This window comes from Homo sapiens, chromosome 12, assembly GCF_000001405.40.
Source record: "Homo sapiens chromosome 12, GRCh38.p14 Primary Assembly".
NCBI classification, from domain to species: Eukaryota; Metazoa; Chordata; class Mammalia; order Primates; family Hominidae; genus Homo; species Homo sapiens.
The window spans coordinates 42,615,503-42,640,614 of NC_000012.12; the positions used below are offsets into that span (position 1 = coordinate 42,615,503).

The 25,112-nt window shown below is 39.5% G+C and overlaps 1 long non-coding RNA gene and 1 pseudogene across 1 annotated transcript in view; both read right to left on the reverse strand.

Annotated features, from left to right (window-relative positions):
* The window catches only part of LINC02402 (long intergenic non-protein coding RNA 2402), a 30,996-nt gene continuing 5,884 nt past the window's right edge, over positions 1 to 25,112 (reverse strand). Inside the window, exons 4-6 of the long non-coding RNA NR_110042.1 lie at positions 18,779 to 18,899; positions 13,959 to 14,184; positions 1 to 460 (exon numbers count right to left, since the gene is read on the reverse strand). This is a non-coding gene — a long non-coding RNA (long intergenic non-protein coding RNA 2402). The remainder of the gene's footprint in view (positions 461 to 13,958; positions 14,185 to 18,778; positions 18,900 to 25,112) is intronic.
* On the reverse strand, positions 21,111 to 21,756 carry LOC390308 (CDGSH iron sulfur domain 1 pseudogene; annotated as a pseudogene).

The following is a 25,112-nucleotide window of genomic DNA, read 5'->3' on the forward strand; positions in this document are numbered from 1 at the left end:
AGGCTTTTTTATTTTTATTTATTTTTCTTCTTCTTTTAGAGATGGGATTCTTACTATGTCATTCAGGCTGCATATAAACTCTTTTAAGACTGACTTTGCTGGAACTTTTTCATAAGGAATCTCAGATTAGACTTTTAAAAGCCTCAAGGCTAGAAGCCATGCCAAGGATTTGCCATCAGACTATTGCAATATCTGTATGAATTGGGTGAGTTCCTCTTTCCTCAAAGTGCTCAAATAATTTGAGGTTCCTGGGACTGTCAGAAAGTGACATTCCTTAGTTACCAAAGGTCAGGGAACTTGTAAAGGAACCTTGCAGACAACATACCAGACCAGCCTTTCCAAGAAGCTTTTTTTGAGCTTTATAAGTCAACCTTAATTCCTCAAAGCAGTCTGGTCATTATGGAAAATATGCCATTCCAGTTAAATGCTTTGTAAAGTAACCAGTATCTCCAATTGTGTCCTGTTAGAGAAACAAACAAACAAACATAAATACAACAGATCTTTATTGAATTTATGCAAATAACTATATTGCTATAAATTAAAAATATAGTTTCCAAATTCTGGAGAAATGAGTTAGAGAGAAATATAAAAGCTTCAGGTTTTGCTCACAAAATATACTTTACCCAATTTGTTGTAAGCTTGAATAGCTCAAAAGAAAAAGTTTTCTTGACCCTGGAAGACAAAACGTTAAAAAAAAAAGCAGTGTTTCAAACAAAAGAAATCATAAAACATCATTTTAGTCCTCTGTTAGTTCAGTCCCATGTAATTAATTCTTGTTTTGCCTGATGTTGGGCCAGCAATTCTCATGAATGCTGGAAGTTTTTATTTATTCCAATGGTATAATCTCTAAAGCTATCAGAAACCTGAATAAGAGTACTTGTCAGAGCCTTTTCCACACATTTTCTTAAAGAAGCAATTTTATACTGTAGCTGATTATAAACCACTTTTTGAGAAGAATCATAGTAAAACAATAATTGTCTGTGGATGACAAAAATCTTAGAATAACTATGGCTAATGACATTTGACAAGGACATTTGGTTATTTCTATGACATGCAATAATTTAACATAATAATCATAATTATTATTAACATATACTAAAATATATCAGAATTTTAGAAATCTCATAATTTTGGAATATATATTAATAATGCATTTACACAAATACAATGCAAAGAAAGTTAAACACCATTTCATATTTGACAATGCTTCCTGTATGATTTTAACATACTAAATAATCCTAATATAGCTCGTTTGAACTTCCAGGGGGCGTAATATAAATAAAGTTAGTCTGAGGTTAAAAAAACTGAGTTTAGAATTTGAAACGTTGATTTAGGAAAGTTTGTCAAATATCAAAAGTTTAAAACGCTTGCTCAAAATAGGATCACAGATCATTATAAAATAATAGTCATTAATTTAGCTAAGTGATAATGAAAACATTTTAAAAAGCAAAACATTTTACTCTTCAACAGAGAGGACACTCAGTTTCCCAATTATAAAACCTGACAAAAACACCATAAGGGAAACAAAAATCTGTCTCTCCCTCTCTCCCCTCTCTTTTTCTTGTAGTCTAATGAAAAGTTAAACAAAAATATTTTTCTGTCTCTTATTAATACTATACAAAAATCTTATTCAAAAAAGAAATCCAAATTCTACCTTTGTGTTAGTGTATAATTAATGTTCATGCTAATTTTAATAAAAACTTGTAAGCAAATATATCCAATCTCAATCAGTTTTAACCATAAGATTTTTATAAATATTTTATAACCTCTTACAATTTTTCTCATTTTTTCCAACTTTTTATATCCATTTAGTTTATCGATTTTTAAATTTCTTTAATATAATCCAACTTTTAAAAGCTAAAACCAACTTTTAGAAGCCAAGTAAATTTCGTTACTTTCCCTGTAACAAAAACCACATTCTCATGCCTTTTTATAACTTTTCTTTTCAACCAAAAGTCCTTCCTACTTTCTTTATATACTTTACATATGGAATTGTTTCTCTTATATCTAATAGTTTTAATTACATATATTAATTAAATGTTTACTCTTAATAATCCTTATTTTTTATGAAAAGCCTCAGCAGTAAGCAATTTTAATCATGTACGAGATGTAATGTCCAGGACAAAAAACAGAGCTGTGAAGACAATGCTTAGAGGATATAACCCCTCTCAGCATGGCCAAGAGGCACAGCTGAGCAAGGGAGGAAAGGGCCTAAGTGTTGTCCCCACACCCCACTATGGTCACTTATCTAGACTTCAGAATCTAAAGGCTCAAATCCAAAGATGTAAGCTCACAGACAAATTATTCAAGTATTAAAAATAACATAGAAGCAACAGTTTTATGACCTTAAAACATTTATCAGGACAGTATAAACCTGTCTGACCAATAGACCCAGGCAAAATTGTCTAAATTATATTCTAAAGATGTTTTTATTTACAATTTAACAAACTATTTGCCAAAGATTACTAAAATCATACGAACTTAAACAACATTTAAGCTTATTTACCTAATTTATGAGTGCTCATTTATTTATAAATCAATTTGGTACCATATAGATAGTATACAAACAGACAATACACATGAACACAGAAAACCATAGACAGACATCAATAAAGGCTTTATAGTTTTGATTTTAGAATTTTAGCCATGAGAATAGTAAAACTCACTAATTTAAAGGGACAGCGGGAGGAAAACTGTGCCTTTATAAATGGAAAACTTTAAGGTTTATCCTGAGAAACGCTTATTGAGTTTTAGAGAAAACCAGATAGCAATTTATATCTCAAAGCATATACATAGAGATAATTTAAGCTTTTTCAATAAGGAGTTTGTTTGTGTTAGAGGAAGATTAAAAATGAATGCCAAGGTAGACCAGATACAGTGGCTCATGCTTGTAATCCTCGCACTTTGGGAGGCTGAGGAGGGTGGATCACTTTAGGTCAGGAGTTTGAGACAAGCCTGACCAACATGGTGAAAACCTATCTCTACTAAAAGCAAAAAACAAAAAAGAAAGAAAGAAAGAAAGAAAGAAAGAAGCCAAGGTAACACAAAATGATAGGAATTTACCATAGAATTGTATAAAGAGAACAATTTCATTTCAGCAGATAGCTGTTAATTTAGTTCTGTTTTCTAACTAGATCACTGAGCTCATGGCAGAGCCCATTAAGGAACAGGGCCAACAGTGCATTTGCAATTTTTAGGGCCTGATATTTTAAATACATGAAAAGCAGTTGTAGTTGGAAGACAGAACATTTAACCCTTTAAAAACCAATGATCTCACCCTTGAACTGAATCGTGGGTCCCCCAAAAGAGGAAAACACCATGGGCAGGGCCATGCAATGCTTCCACAGTGCACTGTGCTACAGAGACATTTCTCTAAGTGTTTAGATTGTGCCTTTCTTATTTAAACATGAAAAAAATAACTAGCCCCCTGTCGTAATAATCATTTATTGTAAATGACTGCTGTCAGTCACCTCTAAAACTGTAGCTCTTGCCAGGGACTTGCAGTCATCATAGACACAAAGGGCAAGTGTCCTCTCAGTAAAAAATAATCTCTGCTACTCCCAAAAGCCCAAGAGATCAGGTGATAAAATACAAAAGAGCGCATAGTTTTAGAGCTGAGAGGAATCTGTCCACAACTCTTTAGACTCTACAGGAAGACAGGAGACCCTAAAATGGGGTGAGCGATGCTTTTTTCTGTGTTCCATAAGGGATCTGAGTCATTAGATGTCCCCATAGATCTTTTCATGTGGTACCAAAGATGGCAAAGGGAAAGAAAGAACAGGGAGCAGTAAAAGTAAATGGGAGAACAATTCTTAAGAAAGGAAGTGAGCAGAGGGACCAGGCACATACTTAAAAAAAAATGTTGGTCAATTGAGAAAAAAATTTTAAAAACAGAATACAAACGGGAAAAAGCCAAAAGTCCTTTAACATATACCAAAAGTCCTTTAAAATATACCTATACATATAAGTAGTTTGAATATTAGCTTTTAATTAAGTGAACTGTTAACCATAGAGCCTTTAAAAAATTATCTTAAAATCTCTTATTATCAGATTATTTATTTATTTATTTATTTATTTATTTATTTATTTTTCTGAGATGGAGTCTCACTCTGTCGCCCAGGCTGGAGTGCAGTGGCATGATCTCGGCTCAAGTAATTCTCCTGCCTCAGCCTCCTGAGTAGCTGGGTAGTAGTACAGTCATGTACAGCTGAGTAGCTGAGTAGTAGTACAGTCATGCACCACCATGCCCAGCTAAGTTTTGTATTTTTAGTAGAGACAGAGTTTCACCGTGTTGGCTAGGCTGGTCTCGAACTCCTGACCTCAGGTGATCCACCCACCTTGGCCTCCCGAGTGCTGGGATTACAGGAGTGAGGCACTGCACCTGGCCTTATTCTCAGATTTTAGCTGGGAAAAACAGCCGATATTTCTGGCTTTTGAATTTTTATTTTATTATTATTATTATTTTTTTACCAAAGACATCCTCCCAAGTGAACCAAGAATATGACTTAACCAAGGATGCATGAGGTGATTCCAGAGAGGTGAATGGGCATCCCAAAAAGTCACACAAACAAACCGAAAAGGACGGATTTCCTTACTGGAAATCTAATCCAAGCTGTGTGGTAGTCTAATAGTTAATAGTTTCTTGCTTTTGGGGAACGTTTTAACTTTTGGATTACAAAGCGAAGCAGCCCTCATTGTTAATCCTGCAGGGATCCAAAGTAGGCAGTTAGAGCAGTTAGAGCAGGATTTTAACTTTGTTTTAGGTCAGAGTTTTACTATTTAATTTGATCACGAGAATTTCTAAGGTTGGTCATGACAGTATTATGTGTCTTTCTTTTAATTTGATTTTCCCATCAATTATTTAGAATAAGAGAGCTCTGTTTTTGTTTGTTTGTTTGTTTGTTTGTTTGTTTTAAACTTAGGAGTCTAATTTAAAGTATCCATCTTCTGGCCATTGACAACTAGAATTTCCAGTGGAAATTATTCCAATAGCAACTCAATCCAATTGCCTTTTTACGGAAAGCCCAGGATGTAATTTTCCAAGTTTAGAAAAAAAGGTGCTTCCTGGAGAGGGCATAGAAGAAGCAAACCCAAAGACTGCCCCCACCCAAAAAAAAAAAAAAAAAAAAATCCACTCCCAATGTTACCAGAAAGGGGTCTGGATTCAGACCCCAAGAGGGAGTCCTTGAATCTTGCCCAAGAAAGAATTCAGGGCGAGTCCATGGAGTAAAGTGAAAGGAAGTTTATTAGTAAAGGAAAGTAAAGGAATAAAAGAATGGCTATTCCGGCCGGGCGTGGTGGCTCATGCCTGTAATCTCAGCACTTTGGGAGGCCGAGGCGGGTGGATCACGAGGTCAGGAGTTCGAGACCAGCCTGGCCAATAAGGTGAAACCCCGTCTCTAATAAAAATACAAAAATTAGCCAGGCATTGTGGCATACACCTGTAGTCCCAGCTATTAGGGAGGCTGAGGCAGAATAGCTTGAACCTGGGAGGCAGAGGTTGCAGTGAGCCGAGATCATGCCACTGCACTCCAGCCTGGGCGACAGAGTGAGACTCTGTCTCAAAAAAAAAAAAAAAAGAAAAGAAAATGGCTATTCCATAGAGCAGCCTCGACGGCTGCTGGTGGTCATTTCTTGATTATATGCTAAACAAGGGGAGGAATATTCATGCCTTCTATTTTTAGACCATATAGGGTAACTTTCTGACATTGCCATGGCATTTGTAAACTGTCGTGACGCTGGTGGGAGTGAGGACAACCAGTGAGGACAGCCAGAGGACACGCTTGTTGCCATCTTGGTTTTGGTGGGCTGGCTTCTTTACTGCAACCTGTTTTATCCACAGAGTCTTTATGACCTTGTGTATTTTGTGCCGACCTCCTACCTCATCCTGTGACTTAGAATGCCTAGCCATTTGGGAATGCAGCCCAGCATGTCTTAGCTTTACTTTACCTAGCCCCTATTCAAGATGGAGTTGCCTCTGACACCAGGATTAGGCTAAGACAGCGAAAGGCATTTGTTGTGACAGATGTTTAAGGATGGTGTTTGCCTCTAGTAACCCACAAATTTATAAGGGGACACCAGTCACAGACCTGCTAATCTGAGACACCCCATATGCCTTCCTGGAATTGGACTTTTCTGGCACTAACCAGGCAACAAGAATGGAAATGACATAAGTCCTGTAGGGTTGGAACATCTCAAGACAAACTATCCCAAAAGCATCATACGTTCGGAATGAAAATCTTGGGTTCCAGGTCATTTTCAGGCTGACCACCTAATGTGATCTGAAAATCATGTGCCCTGGATGGCAGAGACCAAGAGAGAGTGCTTCCATTTGGTCACAAGTCAAACTCTCAGGGACATGGAACAAAAACAGAGGGAGCCTCAACCAGTGCCCCTCTTTATGACAGCCAAAGTCAAAGGAAAGGACTATTTCTGGGAGGAAAGATATCAAACAATATGAATATTTGTATCACAAAGTACCAAATAGTACGCTAGAGTCACTGCACCAAGACTAGTCACATAAGTCTTCTTCTCCCATTAATCAGAATTTTGCAGAGGCAACAGTGATTTTTGCCATCCACTTGACTGGATTGTACAGAGAGAGATCCTGGGAGCCTGGCTGTAAGAAATTCTTACCCTTTTGCCCATGGATCAGGTCCTAGATTCTCTTATCTGTAGCTTCCAGAAGAATGGAATTTTGACCCTACCAACTAAGCCAAACTCTAGGAGCAAAGGGATAGGTTTGCTGAAAAAAAGAAGTCAACTCACAAAAGGCAGGCTAATTGGAGAAAGGCATGCTAATTTATTAATGTGTATGCTGTAGATGGGGAGACTTCAGAATGAAGACCCAATCCCCTAGTGGGTCGCAGAAACTTCTATACCATCTTGAGGTTACAGAGAGAATGGGGGATTTGTGCATGGCCAAAAACAGCATATGGTGTAAGTCAGGTTTTAGTGGCAAGACAGGTTATGGGAGGAAGAGAAGAGACTTGGCTAGCAAAGGTGGTCTTGTTATGTAAATGACACCTCATGGGTAGCAGCCCTCAGATAGACGAACTAGTAACTGTTTCCTTAGGCCTTTCGAGATGTCGGACTCTCAGTTAATCTTTGCTGGACGTGGACAAGGGAAGGCCTGGCTGCATCAATGCGGATTATCTATAGATGCAACATTTGACTGCCTTTGCAAAATTATAGCTGAGGAAATTATGACAGTGAAAGAAATCAAACCTAACCCACTCCATCTTGCTTCTAACCTTTAAGCTGTCCCTGTTCATTCCTGCGCGTAGGCCGCAGTAACTTTGGAAAGGAATTCGGTTCATGATTTGACTCTGAAACAAAATTGATAACAGCCCTTTCCCGAAAAGACCCCCTTCTTGCCTGGGGACCAGTCTGACTTTGCAGGACTAATAAACTAGCTACAAGATTAGAAATTACAGTTTAGGGGTCATGCAACCTCTGGCTCCAAGAGTCTGAACCGCCCCAAATTGTTCCTGGGGATAACATCAGTGTTGTAAAACCTAAGATCAGTGCTTGAGATATTTTGCAGACCCTGCCCTGGATGGATCAGCTGATACCACACACACTGGTAATCTGGCTCAATCAGTTCTGCCATCCCACCCAGGAACAGAAGACAGAAAAACTCACCATGACCCCCATGATTCCATCTTCAACCTGACCGATCAGTACTCCCCACTTCCCAAGCTCCAACCCACCAAATTATCTTTAAAAACTTTGATCCCTGAATGCTTGGGGAGACAGATTTGAGTAATAATAAGACTCTGGTCTTCTACACAGATGGCTCTGCGTGAATTACTCTTTCTCCATGGCAATTCCCCTGTCTTGATAAATCAGCTCTGTCTAGGCAGCGGGCAAGGTGAACCCATTGGGCGGTTACAATTTTCCCAGCAAAAGACAGGTTTCGAGGGTGTTACCTCATTTTGCTGGTTCTCTGGTTGTCATTCCAAAATATGTCAAAGAAATATATTTTGGGGAAAAATATTTTGATTCCCTTCAGAAGGTAGAGGAAACACACATCATACCATTAGCTGGTTTGCCAAATTTTAGTTGTTAGATCAGAAAACTAAGAAACGGCATTCTTCACCTGGAGCCTGGATTTGTAATATTCAAGAAATTTCATGACCCTTGGAGTCTGCAGGCAGGGTAGTTTACATCACATGAAATCTAAACGATGGTCTTACTTCTGGAACCAGAATCTTTACTCTGCCTGGTGCAAAAGAAGTAACTTGCAAATATAGTGTTCATTTAGACTGAAGCTCATGAAAACTAACTAACTTTGGACTTAGTGACTTTCAGCAAATTATCTAACCTCTCTGGGCTTCAATATCCTCAATTGAAAAATGAAGCAACTGGTCTAGATAAGTGGTCTCTAAACAGTTTTCTAAAACTTTTCCTAGAAAGTGCCCCATCCCTCACTTCCAGGGCACAAGCAGACCTGTTAGGACTTTTTCTGATTTTACCACAGTCTTTAAAGAATACTTACTGCCGATTAAAAGAAAAAAAAATCATTTTGGAGCCACCAGATTGAATTCTACGTTCCCTTCTAGCATTATCATGCTAAATGTGAATGCAGTGTGGTTGACATGAATACATTATTCAGATATTTACTAAGCATCTACTGTGCATTGACCACAGTTTTAGGCATTGAGGATAAAGCAGTAAAGGAGACAAGTCCTTATCCTCACAGAGCATACATTCTAGTTGAGGGATAGATTAATGAACAAAGTGATTACAGGGAATGATTGGTATATTATAGCAGAGAAAGGGCACGGAAGCAGTGGGGATCTCTCTGAGCAGTGGCATCTGAACAGACATCCAAATGAAGCCAGGGAAAGACTATAAAGACCTGGGTAGAACATTCCAGAAAGAGAGAACAGAGAGTGGAAAACCGTGGGCAGACATGAGCCTGCAAATTTATTTTTTACCACATGAACTAATGATCTAGGTCTCCAGCTTCCTTAAGGAAGGAAACACTTGATTTTACTGATTAAGGGTATAGGAGTTTCTTCTACTTGAAATGATGTCTTGTCTTAGTGGTTCCTCCTTACCATTCTCAAGGGCCTCCTCCCACCGCACCTTTGCAGCATGGTATTCAGTTGCAGCAGAGTGAGCATCCCGTCCTGGTGAACTGTCTTGTCCTGCCCCATCCTGTGTATTCGCCTGGGCCGTTCTTGCATCTATTGAAGTTAATGCAACGTGCCTTGACACTGGCTTTTCTTATGCACTTGAATCTTCCCCATCTATTGGTTAACACTGCTGTTAACCACTGCCTCCAGTCCCCAGGATTCTGCACCCAAAACTCTGGCACAGTCTGTTCAGAACCTAGGCCTCTGTGGTGCTCTCAGCATTTCTTGGGCGTGAAACCCCCAGGGGTTTTTCTCTTTCCATGCTGGAGTAGGCACAAAAGACATTAAGTACCAGGACTTTTGAGCCTCAGTGCTTGGGTTTGATTTCCCTATATAGTAAGTTGAGTAACCTAAAATCTCTTTGCCTTCTTCTTCCTTCTTCTTCCTTCATCCTCTTCTTCCTCTTCCTCTTCTTCTTTCTTCTTCTTCTTCTTTTTGAGACAGAGTCTCGCTCTGTCACCCAGGCTGGAGTGCAGTGGTGCGATCGCAGCTCACTGAAACCTCTGCCTCCTGGGTTCAAGCAATTCTCATGTCTCAGCCTCCCAAATAGCCGAGGAAGGATGATTACTTGAGCAAAGGAGTTCGAGGCTAGAGTGAGCTATGATTGTGCCACAGCACTCCAGCCTGGGCAACAGAGCAAGACACATCTCTTAAAAAAACAAAAAACACAGCTGGGCGCAGCAGCTCATGCCTGTAATCCCAGCACTTTGGGAGGCTGAGGTGGGCGGATCACCAGGTCAGGAGTTCGAGACCAGCCTGGCCAACATGGTGAAGCCCCAAGTCTATTAAAGATTTAAAAAAAAATTAGTCAGGTGTGGTGGCACTTGCCTGTAATCCCAGCTACTCGGGAGGCTGAGACAGGAGAATTGCTTGAAGCCAGGAGGCAGAGGTTGCATTGAGCTGAGATCAAACCATTGCACTCCAGCCTGGCCAACAACTGGGCAAGACTCCATCTAAAAAAACCCACGAAAACCAGAAACCAAAAAACAAAAAATCCAATCAGTTCCTGTCCAGGTTCCTAATCAGGTCTGTTTATGCAAATGACAGATTGACACTTTCTTAGTTCTGATTGGTTGTTACAGCTGAGCCCTGATTGGCTGGGGCTGGTGAGCCTTGATTGGCTGGTTTCCAAGTCTAAAACCAGACGTCTCTGTCAGACGTTCTTTTCAATTGGCTGGAAGTGGGGCTGGGGTGGTGGTGGTTTTTCTAGTCACAGTTTATTTTGGCACTGACAACTGGAACTTGTTTGGCTTGATTTCAGAAAGGGAGATCCTGTGACATTTTATAACATCTTTCTGATAACACAGAGTGTGTGACAGCTCCCTCACCCAGCGTGACCACCTGGTTCTGTTTTAAATCTGAGCACCTTAGCCATGGGGAATCCATTTTGCCTGTCACCCAGGAGCATACTTTAGCACTACCTTCCATGACTGCTTTCAGGTACAAATAGCTTAATATATGTACATATATGTAAAATGCTTTTCTTTTTCCTTTGAAGGGTAAATATTTTATTTCTGAGGAATTTATTACTGCACATTTTCTTTCTTTTTTTTTTGAGACGGAGTCTCACTCTGTTGTCCAGGCTGGAGTGCAGTGGCGCAATCTCGGCTCACTGCAACCTCTGCCTCGCATGTTCAAGCGATTCTCCTGCCTCAGCCTCCAGAGTAGCTGGGATTACAGACGTGCACCACCATGTCCAGGTAACTTTGTAGTAGAGACGGGGTTTTGGGTTTCACCATGTTGGCCAGGCTGTTCTCAAACTCCTGACCTCAGGTGATCCACCAGCTTCCGCTTCCCGCAGTGCTGGGATTACAGGCTTGAGCCACCGCTCCCGGCCTTACTGCACATTTTCAAAGAAAGTCTCATAAGAAAGTACAAATGTTATTCTCCCCACATCCCAGAGATAAATAAGAAGGGTATAAAATTTCTTTTTAAATCAGAACACTTGGAAGTTTAGCACCAGCATACAAAATGAACACACAAAAATAAAATAAAATAAAAAGCCTTTGCTATATATTTCAGATTTTTTTTGGTTGGGGTTCTCCTGAGGTGGTATTAATATTTCTTCTTTGAATTCACATATTGCTTCTTTCAATTTATATAACCAAAACCGTAAAAAATGGGGAAAAACAACCCTAAGTTTGCTGAAAACTGGAGAGGTTGCTGTCTTGTCTTTTGCTGTGCACGCATTCCCAGTGTCTCAGCTTACTGGAAAAATTTGCTGTCATTTTCCTTTTGCAGTTGTTATTTTCTTAAAGAATAATAGTAAACGTTCTAATGTCCAAATCTTGGTTAGTCTTCCACTTTCTTGCTCAGATGTTTCTTTGATGCTGGTAAGATCGAGGTCTGCTTTTTGCCTTATGTTATTTTTGAGTGGTCATTAATTCTTTAGGTTGCCTTGATGATGGCGAAGGTGCCTGGTGTAACTCAGCGCTGCTCTGCTCAGTGGTGGGAGCAGGGTTCTCAGTTGGGGCTTCACCTGCTTCGGTCTCTGCCATCTTGTGAAGGAGCCTTAGGAGGATAGAGGCTACGTAAATAGTGGTGGGGAGGCTGGTAGCCACAGCGAGCAGGTTGCTGGCTTGGATGATTGGCTGATTGTTGATTCCCTTTATTTTCAGCTTCTCCAACAGCTGGGGCAGGTCGTGGCTCTCTGAAGCCAGCTACACATTTCAAATCAAAGCCCTACTCTCCAAAGGACAGGAAGCTTTCCAACATGCAACAAAACGCAGACGTGGGTCTTGAAAAACTGAGCCAAAAAAATCTCACACCAGAAAGCATAGAAGTTTTCCTCCAAAATTGTGTTATAAGTTAAAAGTGCTCTCCTAGAAACTTTTAACCATTAAATAGTCTATCCGAAGTTAATTATTCTATCTGAGCTAATTGTACATGATCTTTGAGGAAAAAAAGTCAGCAATTACTGAAATATCCTTGTGTTTTGATGACAGTCATGGCTACAGAAAAAAACCATAAAAAACAAAAAAAAATTGACAGTGGTAGCTGTCATTGTCTGTGACAAGTACTCTCTGCAGGTTATAAACCTTGTGCATTGTTAACTTAGACCTGCAATTAGTCCATTCACATTTTGGTGTGATTTAATTGCAAGAATTGTAATTTGAAAGGGAATAATTGGTATGAAACCCAATATTATTTAATTTAATTTTGTTTTACTTTATTCTTTTGATGGACCACTCTCACAGAATGAGGAATAATTGATTTCATGGCCCACAGGTATCTGATGAAAAATCAATCGAATTAGTGATTTCATTTTGCAATTTACATTTAAATAAAAAGGGATGGAGAGAATTCTTTCAAGAAGTTAAAAAAAATTAGCCTTACTTAAATGATGTTTAATATAAAACACAAAAACACTAAAATAATTCCAAAGTTAATCTTCTACTCTTCTACTCCACTTTTACTCATGACTTTGCAATGACTGGGAACAGGGGTAAGTGATGACATGAAAAATGATGTGGAAAAACAAAAGAGCAAGAATTCGATATAACAGGTTATTTCTATATTTCTATATTTGGATTTAGCCAGTTCATCTGCCCGATATTCTGACCTGTGGGTTTACATAAAGATTTTCTCAGAGACAACTGGGGTATAGTGAAAGGAGCTTTGACACTGTAAACAGAAATCGTTTTTTCAAAAAGTCTCAATTTGGCCATTGTTTTTCTGTACGATCAAGTCATAATTTCTCTACTCCTGTTTCTCATGTAGAATAAGGAGTTAATAATTTAAACTCCACAATGTTATGGTGAGGATTCAATAAAATAATGCCTGTGAAAATGCTATGTGAAGTACAAACTATGCATGGGAAGATGTTAAATTTTAAATGAGGGTTTCATTTAGTTGGGAGAAGCCTAGATCATAAGCATCTAGTGCCTCAACGTCCTGCAGCCTAGTCTGGGTAGACTGCCTCTCAGAAAAGTAGAGGATTCTGTTAGCTGCAAGGCAGGTGAACAGCAATGCGGAGCAGGGGACCAAGGGCAACGTCTAGATAAAGCAAAATGTATCTGGTATTTACTATATATCATGCACTCCAAAGCCAAACTCTTTTTTTTTTCTGTAGAAATCCTGCCCATTCCTGCTTATGTGTTAAGGGAATTTGGGTCGTCGTTTCAAGAAAGTTAAGGATAAAGGAAACATTTCAATTTCCATAGTGTTGATAAAGAATTGCAGCACATTAACAAGGTGTATCATTTAGAACTTTTTTTTTTTTTTGAGTCTCCCTCTGTTGCACCCAGGCTGGAGTGCAGTTGGGGCGATCTCAGCTCACTGCAACCTCCGCCTCCCAGGTTCAAGCGATTCTCCCACCTCAGTCTCCCAAGTAGCTGGGATTACAGGTGCCCGCCACCACGCCCAGCTAATTTTTTGTATTTTTAGTAGAGACGGGGTTTCACCATATTGGCCAGGCTGGTCTCGAACTCCCAACCTCAGGTGATCTGCCCACCTCAGCCTCCCAAAGTGGTGGGATTACAGGCGTGAGCCACCGTGCGCAGCCTAGAGCTTCATTTCAATTTGCATCACTGTCACATGGCAGTAAATGCTAGGCCTTTTCACAGCTCCTTGCTTTATAGGAAATCTCTATGGAGTCTTTATTAGGAGCCTGTTGTAATGCTTTTGAAAGGAAATGCAACTTTATGTTCTTTTTACACTCAGGAGTCTGAAAGGTACATTGTTTTTTAAGAGTGCTGCACAGAGCAGAACTAACTTTACCACCTTGAGGTGTCAACAGTGAGAGAAACGGAGGAAGTCACAACTTTTGAGATGAGAGAAGCTTTTTAGGTAACTATGAGGTGTTTTAAAAAGTACCTTTTCTCTTTGGTAAGTGGAGTTTCCCAACTCCCGTTCAATGATCTGTCAAAGTTAGAATGCACATGAAAGGTGCATTGAGACAACGGTACTTGTCTGAGAGGGAAACAAAAATTTGTTTTTTGATGAATCCTTCCAAAATAGGTCAAATTGAAGCTGCTTTGAGGCACCAAGTGAGGAAATCTGATTTTAGCCTTCCTTTTTCCCCCTCTCGGTTGTAGTTATTCTAAGTGACAAAGAACAAATCATGTTAAGAGAGGTTGACATTTTTAGGAGTTGCTTTTCAAAACATAGAAACCAACATTCTTCTTATTGGCTGACCTACTACGTTTGAATGTGTGTTTGCCTTGGGTTAGGAGATACAGCCTCCCAAAAGATGTGGCTCTACCATCATCAGGCAGCTCTTTCTGAGGAATGATTAACCTATCAGATATATTTTCTTCTCTTTAGTAACAAACCAACGTTCCCCTTTCCGTGCACCCATTTGCTACATCTCCATTCTACTCTGTTAAGATTATGACTGTCTCTCGGATTCCAGGCCTTCTCATAGACCTGTCTTTCCACTGTCCAGGAGCAGCTTTGTATTCTGAAATCTAATCAGAGAGTAAGTTCATTCCGCAAATATTTCTTTTCACAACTGTTTATTGAAGGACAGTGTGTTACAGGCTCTGTGCTAGCTGCTGGAATGCAGCTATGAACCAGGTGGAGAAAGATCCCTACCCTACAGGAGCTTACACTCAGGGAAAAGGGGAATCAGCTTCCTTGATGAAATATAAGTTGGTCTATTTAAATTCTTCTCTAGCTTTCTCATCCCAACATGTGTACCTGTGCAGTTCAAACAGATTCTAGAAAGACTGGGACAGAATTCCTGTTAAGAGAAGATTGCATTTACTGTGCTAGAGCATTTGTTTCTCAGAGCCCAAAAGCTCTTTCTGCTGTAGATGTCTTATCAAGATTATATGAGGAGAGCCTGAAACATAATCCTTCTCACTGCCATTTCCATATCTCTGCCGTAAGGCCCTTGTTTTAAATTCTAGAAGGTGAAAACAATTCACAAACAGAAATGATTAATGGCATGAAGGACAGATTTATGGGAAAGGATCTTAAGAGATAAATATGTATGGGTTGACTTCAGGAGGCTCTCAGAAATTGTTCTTGGTGATATAGTTAGTGAGGAAGGATTAGCATGATATTAAAGCTAAAACAAAGTAGGGTAGAAGAGGATGATTCAGGATGTTTGGGAATACATAATTTTTTTTTTTTTTTTGAGACGGAGTCTCGCTCTGTCACCCAGGCTGGAGTGCGGTGGTGTGACCTCAGCTCACTGCAACCCCTGTCTCCCAGGTACAAGCAATTCTCCTGCCTCAGCCTCCTGAGTAGCTGGGACTACAGGTGTGCACCACCATGCCCAGCTAATTTTTGTATTTTTAGTAGAGGCGGAGTTTTGCCATGTTGGCCAGGCTGGTCTTGAACTCCTGACCTCAGGTGATTCGCCCGACTCGGCCTTCCAAAGTGCTGGGATTATAGGCGTGAGGTACCGCGTCTGGCCTGGAATACTTAACATTCGTACGATGCTTTACAGGTGAATAACAATACTGGATATCATTGATTAAGGGCTTAGCATGTGACAAGCACTTACACAAAAAGTTATTTAACAAATATTCGTTAAGTGCCTCGTATGTGCAAGGAGCGGTTCTAGTTTCTGGAGATACGACCTGAAACAGAAAAGACAAAAAAATCCTTCCCTAATGGAGCTTGCATTTAGTTGGGGAAGGTAGAATATACACAAAATAAATCAGTAATATATGTTATTGGGTCAAGTGGTGTTAAGTGCATGAGTGTATGATTATCTGCACAGCTTGCAAAGTAATTTCACAAACATCATTTACTCATTTAACAAATATTTATTGAGAATACAGTATGTACCAGCCATTGTGCTCATAACAACCGTATAGTTGTTAGCATTTTAACACCAAAATATTGGGATTTAGACCGGCTAAATGATCTTTCCAAAGTAATAGAGCTGAAGGCAGGGCATGATGGGCTTGTACCTTCAATCCCGGCACTTTGGGAGGCTGAGGTGGGAGGATGGCTTGAGGCCAGGAGTTTGAGATCAGCTTGGTCAACACAGAGAGACCCTGTGTCTACAACTAAAAAAAAAAAAATTACAGCTGGTAAATTGCAGAGCCAAGATCCAAACCCATATTTTCATTTTCTAAGTATAGTCCTCTTTCTGATGCAATAGCTGTAACTTAAAAATCTGAGCCTTGAAGCTTCCTTGTTTCTACTTTCACTCCTTCTGTTGCTGTAAGAGTGAAATAAATATGTTTCTAGGGAAGTGGATTTCTACCTTCAGGGCTTCCTGGATATGTGTGTTGCTTGGGCAATATTTTGTCTTCAATTAGATGAGTTTGGATAGCTTAAAAATTCACTGTGACTTGCAAAAGAAATGTTTTTTAAACCTTTACATTCATACACTTTTCTTTAAATGACTTTAAAGAAAGACATTTACTGTAATGTTCCCCTCTCTGTTTCATATTCTCTACTTAATTTTATTCCTTCAATTTCCTCTGGTCATATGAATTTTAAAATTAGGTCGTTTGACTCTTTTATAAACTGTATTTGGAGGCTCTGTCAAACCTCAGTGAGACTTTGCTGGATTCTTAAAAGCCCATGGCTCTCTGAATTCATCCTTTACATGAGAAAGCAGGGGAGATTCTTGGAAATAATCTGAGTTGACATCTATTTCTGTTGTTTTACAATAGTTTCCCAAAGTTTGCAGTTTTAAGTAAATTTAGAACAATTGTAAAAAAGTCAGCACACAAAGTTGAAAATGGTAGAGTTGTAGGCCAGGGAATTCAGACTTCTTATCCTGAATGTTTACACACGAATTTTTCTTTAGATGTATTTTTAACACTGTCTCCTTTGCTTTTATTTTTGCCACAAGGTAAACCCACCTCCAGTAAATAGTTTTGAAATGATTTTAAACCAGGGTGAATGCAGTAAGAAAGCCAATATATTACAATGAACAGAGCATAGTTAAAATAAAATAGTTGGGTGGCTTGGGTATTTAATAATCTTTAAAAAGATACAAAAGCGATAATCTTTAAAAATATAAAAACAACTTTTGTTCAATGTAGATATTATCATTGTTAATATTTTGGTATGGCCTATCCTTTCAGACATGTTTTCCCCTGTAAAAAATGGGATCATATGTTGTGGACTTCATTTCTTTTTTCTTTGTCCACATCATTTTTATGGCTCTTTAGTAGACTGACATATTATGATTTGTCTAACCATTTGTCTATTGACCTTTTAAATTATTTCCGGTTTTTTAACTCTTATTAATAATTTACAGTGAACATCCTTAAAGTAAAATATTTGAACACATCTGTGATTATTTTCTTAAACTAGTTCACAGAAGTTAAATTGTTAGGTCAAAGTGTATATGGAATTGTGTATATGGAATTCAAAGGCTTTTGTTAGTTTTGTCAAACTGTCCTCAAAATTCTGTATTCCTGTAAGTAATATATGGTGAGTTAAAACATTGGGTAAGAAACTAATAAATGCAAACCAGGTACAGTGGCATGGTGCCTGTATTTCTAGCTACTTGAGAGGCTGAAGCAGGAGGACCACTTGAGCCCAGGAATTGGAGACCATAGTGCTCTATGACTATGCCTATGAACAGCCACTGCACTCTAGCCTGGACAGGAGAGCAAGACCCAGGCTCTAAAACAATCAAGTGAAATCCAAAAAAAAACATTAAACGCACAATACATAATACATAATCTAAAAAAGCACAATACATAATTTAAAAAAGAGGAGTTCAGATCACATCAGCCACTAAGAATATTCTGTTCCTTCATTTAGGGGGATTTTCTATTTGAAAACCATCCCAAAGAAAGAAAAATGGAACACCATTACAGTTGAGGTCTATGTAGTGTACTGAACTGGTAATCTGAAAATCTGGTCCCTAGCCCTGGCTGTGCTGCTCATTTGATGTGTGTGGCTCTGCCAGCCAGTTATTCTACCTGGGCCTAGTATTCTTTATTCGTAGTGTGACCATACGTCTTGCTCTATGTCTGTGGCACAAGCATAATAATTAATAGCATTTTCTTTTACTCTCAAAGTGGACAATGAAGTCTGTGCTTGTCCCACTTACTTTTATGTGAGGTATTTCCACTGTTAAAATGGATATATGTTGTTTTGCCTGCCCAGCCTCTTCCCCCTGTTGTTTTCTGTTGTGGAGCCACTGTCTCCCATCATCAGTCAATGTGTCTGCAGCCTAAGTCTATCCCAGACACATGGCCAGCGTGGGCCAGTCAGAGCACCACAGCCTCTTGGACCCGGAGATGAATCTAAAAATAGCCATGTGACCCAAATCAGGCTCCTGTGAGCTGTCCTCCTGGATTTCTGCAGGGCTGGTGGTGCGCTGGCTCATATTGGTCCGCAAGAGCCAATTATTAAATTTCTAGGAGTTTTGTCAATCAGTTGTTAAACACAGCCATTATTAACAATTAGATTATATAAACTTACAATTAAAGTATATTAAAACAAAGGTAGGTGAATACTTCAAACTCACAGCTGCCTTATTATTTTACTACATCTTATATTACCTATTATCTTGAGTTATTTATGTGTTTTCACTCTATATGGTGGAAATACTACAGAATGGACTACTGCACATCTCCTCTCAACTCCATGTTTAGTGATGTTAAGTTGGTAGGTTGAAATTGGCCAGGGTGGGAGTATTTATACCATGGAAATTGGCAAATGTTATAAACCAGATTTTTTTTTTTTCTGGAAAGTTAAACACTTACCTTCACATCACTGGCTTGAACTAATCATTTGCTTTTTACTTTGTCACTATGCTGGTAAAATGTAGTCCTGGAGTAGCAGGAGGGCCATTTCGGTCATTTGGGGAGGGCTTGCCCAAGAACTCTGCTAGTGAAAAGAAAAGTAGAGCTGAGGGCTACAGAATGATGGGATTCTTATTTTTCCTTTGGCTTTATGGAGGTATAATTGACAAATAAAAATAGAGACAAGCTTGGTGTGGTGGTTCATTCCTGTAATCTCAACATTTTGGGAGGCTGAGACAGGAGGATTGCTTGAGCCTTGGAGTTTGAGACCAGCCCAGACAACATAGCAAGATCCTGTCTTTACAAAAAATTAAAAATTTATGCCGTGTGCAGTGGCTCATGCCTGTAATCCCAGCAGGCTGGGAGGCTGAGGTGGGCAGATCACCTGAGGTCAGCAGTTCGAGACCAGCCTGGCCAATATGGTGAAACCCTGTCTCTACTAAAAATACAAAAAAAAAATTTAGCTGGGCATGGTGGCGCATGCCTGTGATCTCAGCTACTCTGGAGGCTGAGGCAGGAGAATTGCTTGAACCTGGGAGGTGGAGGTTGCAATGAGCCGAGATTGCACTGCTGTACTCCAGCCTGGGTGACAGAGCAGTCTCCATCTCAAAATAAATAAATAAATAAATAAAATAAAAATCTAGCCAGATGTGTAGGCATGCACCTGAAGTCCTAGCTACTCAGGAGGCTGAGGTGGGAGTATCACTTGAGCCCAGGAGGTGGAGGCTACAGTGAGCCAAGATCGTGCCATTGCACTTCAGCCTGAGTGACAGAGCGAGACAGACCCTGTATCAAAAAAAAAAAAAAAAAAAAAAAAAAAAAAGACAAAACTCTTAATGTATGTATTTGGTATTTTAGTTGGATGAGAAACTGGCTTAATCCACGTTAGGTTTCTATAATCTATAAATAAAAGTCTTTTGATAATACAGACTCTATAATCTCTAAGACCCCCTTGTAGCTTAATGATATCTGATTTCAAAATTAAATAAGAGGAGGAACTTCTTAGATAATATTTGAGTGCCCATAGTTACTATCTTTGACAAGAAGTCAAATAAAAAATATTCCATAATGAATTCACACAATTTATCTTCAAAACATTCAGTCCTGTATAATGTTAGCATTAAATGTCTTGTAGCCAAAATTTAAGCCATAAGACAGATGAAATAAACTGATGTTAATAATTTCACTCATTTTACAAGATTTCCCCCCTTCTTTTGAAAATAAAATATTGTGTTTAAGCTGATCCACTTTAAAATAATTTTTTAAACCAACTTTTAATTATCCTCAGATAGTGATTATTATCTATATTCAACCACAGCACTGTGTCTAGAAAGCCCTGTTAAGATATAGTTACTCTGCCTTTTAAGAACACTGTACTTTCTCCCTTTGAAATATTGATTTCATTTTACCAGCGTGATGTCCCCATGGTGCACCCTGAGGTGGTATTTGCTAATTAGTGAATGAGTCTGGAGTAGGTCCTACTGAGATATTAGGAATACTCTCCAATTTGACACAGCTGAAGTGCATATTTAACATTTTATTCCTGGCTCACTGTAGTTATGACCCATCTCGCATATTGTTGATTCAAAAGAATCAAAATCCCGTCGGTGTTTTCGGTTTCTGGTACTTGACTGTTGATAGCTCGGAAGTGTTGGTGGTTAATAGTCAACATTCACAAAAATCTTATGAGGCCAAACCTCATAACTTGCCAAGTGCTAAGATGATTTAAATTTACCATCCCTGAAATAAAGTGTTCTTTTCTTTCTCTGGCTTAAAAAGAGGTTAGAAAAAGTCTGTTTTGATTTGGATGATTATGTTTAGAAATAAACTAAATAATAAAAACCTTGACGCTGCCATTATTAGCTCTTTTAGGGGTTTCCTTGTCAATAGCTGGTTGCCTCCTCTTAATTCTATTGCTAGTTTGCCCCTTTTTCAATAGTGAGTTGTCATCTTGCAACTATAACAGAACAAGCTATTTAAATTAACGTGAATGAGAACTGTGATGTATTGGAACGAAACAAGCACTTTTGGGGACTGACCTTGAGTTAATTCCCTGCACCAGCATTTGCATTTCCCAAAGTGTGTTCCAAGAACCCTAGTTAGGGAAACATTTCATGTCAGTATTTCTCAGTGTGCAGATCATCTGCATCTGAACTACCTGGGGTGTTAAAGTACAGGCTCCAGGGCTGCTTCTGAGGGGCTTGGTAATATGAATTTTCAACAGTTTCTCAGAGTGATTCACATGTACTTTGGCAAAAAGGAATCTAGTAAATTTGTGAATTACTTTCTTTTTTTTTTCTTTTTTTGTTTCGTTTTGTTTTGTTTAAACAAATGTGCACCACGATGTTTCAACAAGTAAGACAAATGCCATGAATGTGAAAGCTGCAGTTTGCAATATACCATATTTAGAACCCAGGGTAGGTGAATTAGCCAGAGGTGGTAGTCATTCTAATTAAACAATCAGGTAATTTCACGACAAGTATCAAAACTGTCCACTTAAGTTTCTTTTTTCTTGATGATAAGAGGTCCCACGTTGACTCCAGTCTCTTCGTTGTGTTTTGTGTGAGACCCATCACAGAATGGGAATTTTTGGACCTCCAGAAACGGCAGTACACAGCATTATCTCCCAAATCCTCCATGTCAAAAGCATGTACTGTCTTGGGGTTGTCTTTCTGGATGTGAAGGTTTATCACAGCTTTATTTCGATGATCTTTAACATAAAATCTTTTGTAAGCTAGATAACCAATTGCAGCTGTCCCAGCAGCAACGGTAACTGCTGCCATCCATTCAACTCGTCCGCTGGAACTGGAAGTCAGACTCATGGCGCCGTCGCTTGCAAGGCGTGTGCACTAGGATACCGAGCACAAACGGGTTTGCGCGGCCAGCGAGAGTCAAGGTAGGTGCCAGCGGCGTACTAACGTTACCGACTCCGCGCTGCTACCGCCGAATTACTTTCTTGACTTACAGACTACATTAGCAAATTAAGGGATCTGAAAAGGATCTGAAAAGTCCTGTAGTAGAGACCTGTTTAACTTTTTTAAACCCAGGACTTTCTCAAATTGTTTGATTTTTCAGTTTCTTTTGTTTTTTGAGACAGAGTCTCACTCTCTTGCCCAGGCTGGAGTGCAGGGGTGTGATCTTGGCTCACTGCAACCTCCGCCTCCTGGGTTCAAGCTATTCTCCTGTCTCAGCCTCCCAAGTAGCAGGGACTACAGGTGTGTGCCACCACACCTCGCTAATTTTTTGTATTTTTAGTAGAGACAGGGTTTCACCATGTTGGCCTGGTCTCAAACTCCTGGCTTCAAGTGATCCACCCACCTAGGCCTCCCAAAGTGCTGGGATTACCCGTGTGAGCCCCACTGCACCCTGCCTCAAATTGTTTGATTACAGAATTCTTTTTTGGGAGGAACATTTGTTAGTTGATCAAATACTATTGGGAAAAGTTACTCTATCTAATAGCATAATAATTGTAGATTGTCACAATTGCTTGCTAGTTTGATACTGAGTTACTGTAGTGTCTTGCTATAAGCATTAGACAGACATCTGAGTGTGAATCCTGAATTTTATACTGTTGGTTCGGTTACCTAGCAGTCACGTTCTCTTAATCATAAGGGAGACAGAGCGAAAGAGTGAGTTAATACCAGAAACATTGCTAGAAAAATAGACACGTGTTTCTGATACTATCATATTTTATGAAGAGTGATGTATATGAATACTTCTGGCAATGTATTTTGCCCAGACATTCTACATCCTCACTCTACACCTCCAGAGAAGAGATCTGGGAGATCTGGTTGCCATTTGACAGTAGACTCTACAGAGGAAGGAGCAAGGAGCTCTTCCAGAAACACCAATCAAGTAGAACAATGAGAAAGAAGTAAACACAGTTGAGCAGGAAATTGGATGGAAGTGAAGTAATTCTTCACTCTGCAGCAGAAGTGGTTAAAGGCAACCCCAGTTTTTCTTCCCACCATTCTGCCATTAGGCATAAACAACACAGAGCCAGGCAGTAAAGAAATGATAAAGGAGGACTGAACTTTAGGGACTTCTCTCTGGGGGTGGGACTGCCTTTTGCTTGGCTCTAGAACTAGAGGGACAAAGACGGGTCCGGAGTAAAGGAAGTAGGGCACAGATTAGCTGGAGGGAGAGAGATAAGTAGACCTCTGGGTTTCCTTTCAAATTGCCTGGGTTGATTGACCAGGATAGAGAAGGAGGCCAAATCCTGGGCTTGCTCATCCCGTCCCTCACCACGCAAGGCATTTCATTTCTCCATGCTTTTGCATGCCTTGTCTCCTTTGTTTCTTCTTTTCTTTGTTTTTTTTCTTTCCTTTTTTTTTTTTTTTTTTTTTTTTTTTGAGAAAGGGTCTCTCTCCTTTACCTAAGCTGGAGTACGGTGGCCTGAACATGGCTCACAGCAGCCTCAACTTCTGGGGCTCAAGCAATTCTTCTGCCTCAGCCTCCCAAGTAGCTAGAACCACAGGTGTGCATCACCACGCCTGGCTTTTTTTTTTTTTTTTTTTTGTAGAGGCAAGTCCTTGCCATCTTGCCCAGACTTGTCTGGAACTCCTGGGCTCAAGCCCTTCTCCTACCTTGGCCTCCCAAAGTACTGAGATTACAGGCGTTAGTCATTGTATCCAATCCTGCCTCCTTTATTTCAAATGCCCTTGCCTTGTTCTCTCCCTCTATGTGCCCATGGAACTTTGCTGATTTTTCTAACTTAAGCTCATAATATGTTAATGGTATGCAGCGAGATTGGGAGCTTTTTGAAGGGCAGAGATAATGTCTTATTTATCTTGAGTATCTTGCACTAGGCTCAGCTTCTAGCATAAAACAGCTTTTCAATTAATGTTTGTGGTAGCCAGGGAGATCAGAAATCTCAACAGGATGCCTCTAAATAATCTTTAGAGTACTCATGTAGAGTTCAGTGGTATAGAGCTTTAGAGCTGGAGGCTATCTATAGACCCTCCTCATTTTACAAATAGGGCAGTGATAGTTCACTCAAGAGGCAAGCAGCGACCTAGGACTCAGGCCTCCTGCCTCTCAGTCCTATGTTCTTTTGACTCCCTCAAGGTGGTTTGTGTAATTAAAAAAACCCTCAAAACTCACACTACCCAATGCTGCATGACCCTTTATGAATTATAGTATAAAGCAGTATTTCATGTAATATTTGCATCAGTGAAAAATGCAGAGACATTGAGCTAGAAAGTGATTTAAGGAGGATGTTCTGCCTCCACATAGAATGTGTTCCATTTCTGAATTTTTGCATCCATTGTGTGCCTTTCTAATTCTTGGCTTAGCTTGGAAGCTGCAGTTAAAAAATGCTGGGTGAGAAGCTATTCTCCTGGTACTTTCAACTTTATTGGAAAGAGAAGGTCTCATAAATCACATAAGGGAACTGGGGCCTGTAGGATTGCTTAGTTGCCAAGTGAATTCTGATTGATTGCTTTGGAAAATATGTACATTTTCCAGGAGCTTATCTGAAATAAAATAAAGATTCATACTTTCTCAGACTGAGCTCCCACTCCACCAGATTTCAATCATAGTCTGGTCATTTTAATCCAGTGAAAGGGCAGTTAAATGAACAGTGTAAGCATTAGAAGTGTAGTAAAAAATCTGAACAGCAAAGCACAAATGTTATTTCAAATAGAGAAAGGTTTGGAACACCAAAAATACTCCTAACTAAACATAAAATTAGAACCAGATTCAGGTTCTATGACTCGTGTTGACTTAAGCTTCTTCCTAATAATGGCCAGCATATCAGAGTGGAGAAATTGTTGGGAAAACCATGTTATCAGACGCAGGTATCACTTCCGTATCAGGAAGCACTGTGAATTAGGATTTCAGGAGAACTGAAATTGTGTGTGTCCACAGAGAGCGAAATTAAATGGGAGGAAAACATTTGGATCTTAATCCTTTGAGGTCACAGAAACTGTTGAAAATCTATGAAAGCTGTGTAAAAATTCACATGCATATGAAAACTTTCAGACCCACGATGCCCATAGGGTGCTGGGAACCTACATTAAGTACCTCTTATTTAACTATTTTTCCTAGAATTTCTGGTTTCTATATGTGGCAGATCTGCCTGGCTGGCACCTGGAACTTCCAGCCTCTTCACACACATACACTGTAGGGCCAGGTTGTAGCAAAAAAAAAAAAAAAAAACAGAAAAGGAAAAAAGAGGACAGAACATCTGCTGTGAGGCTGATTCAGTTTTACTCAGGGTGAACAGAAGTGGCCTTAATCCCCTACAGATTTCCTTTACTTTGTTGTTATGCAGAGGGATCATCTGGCAGAGATT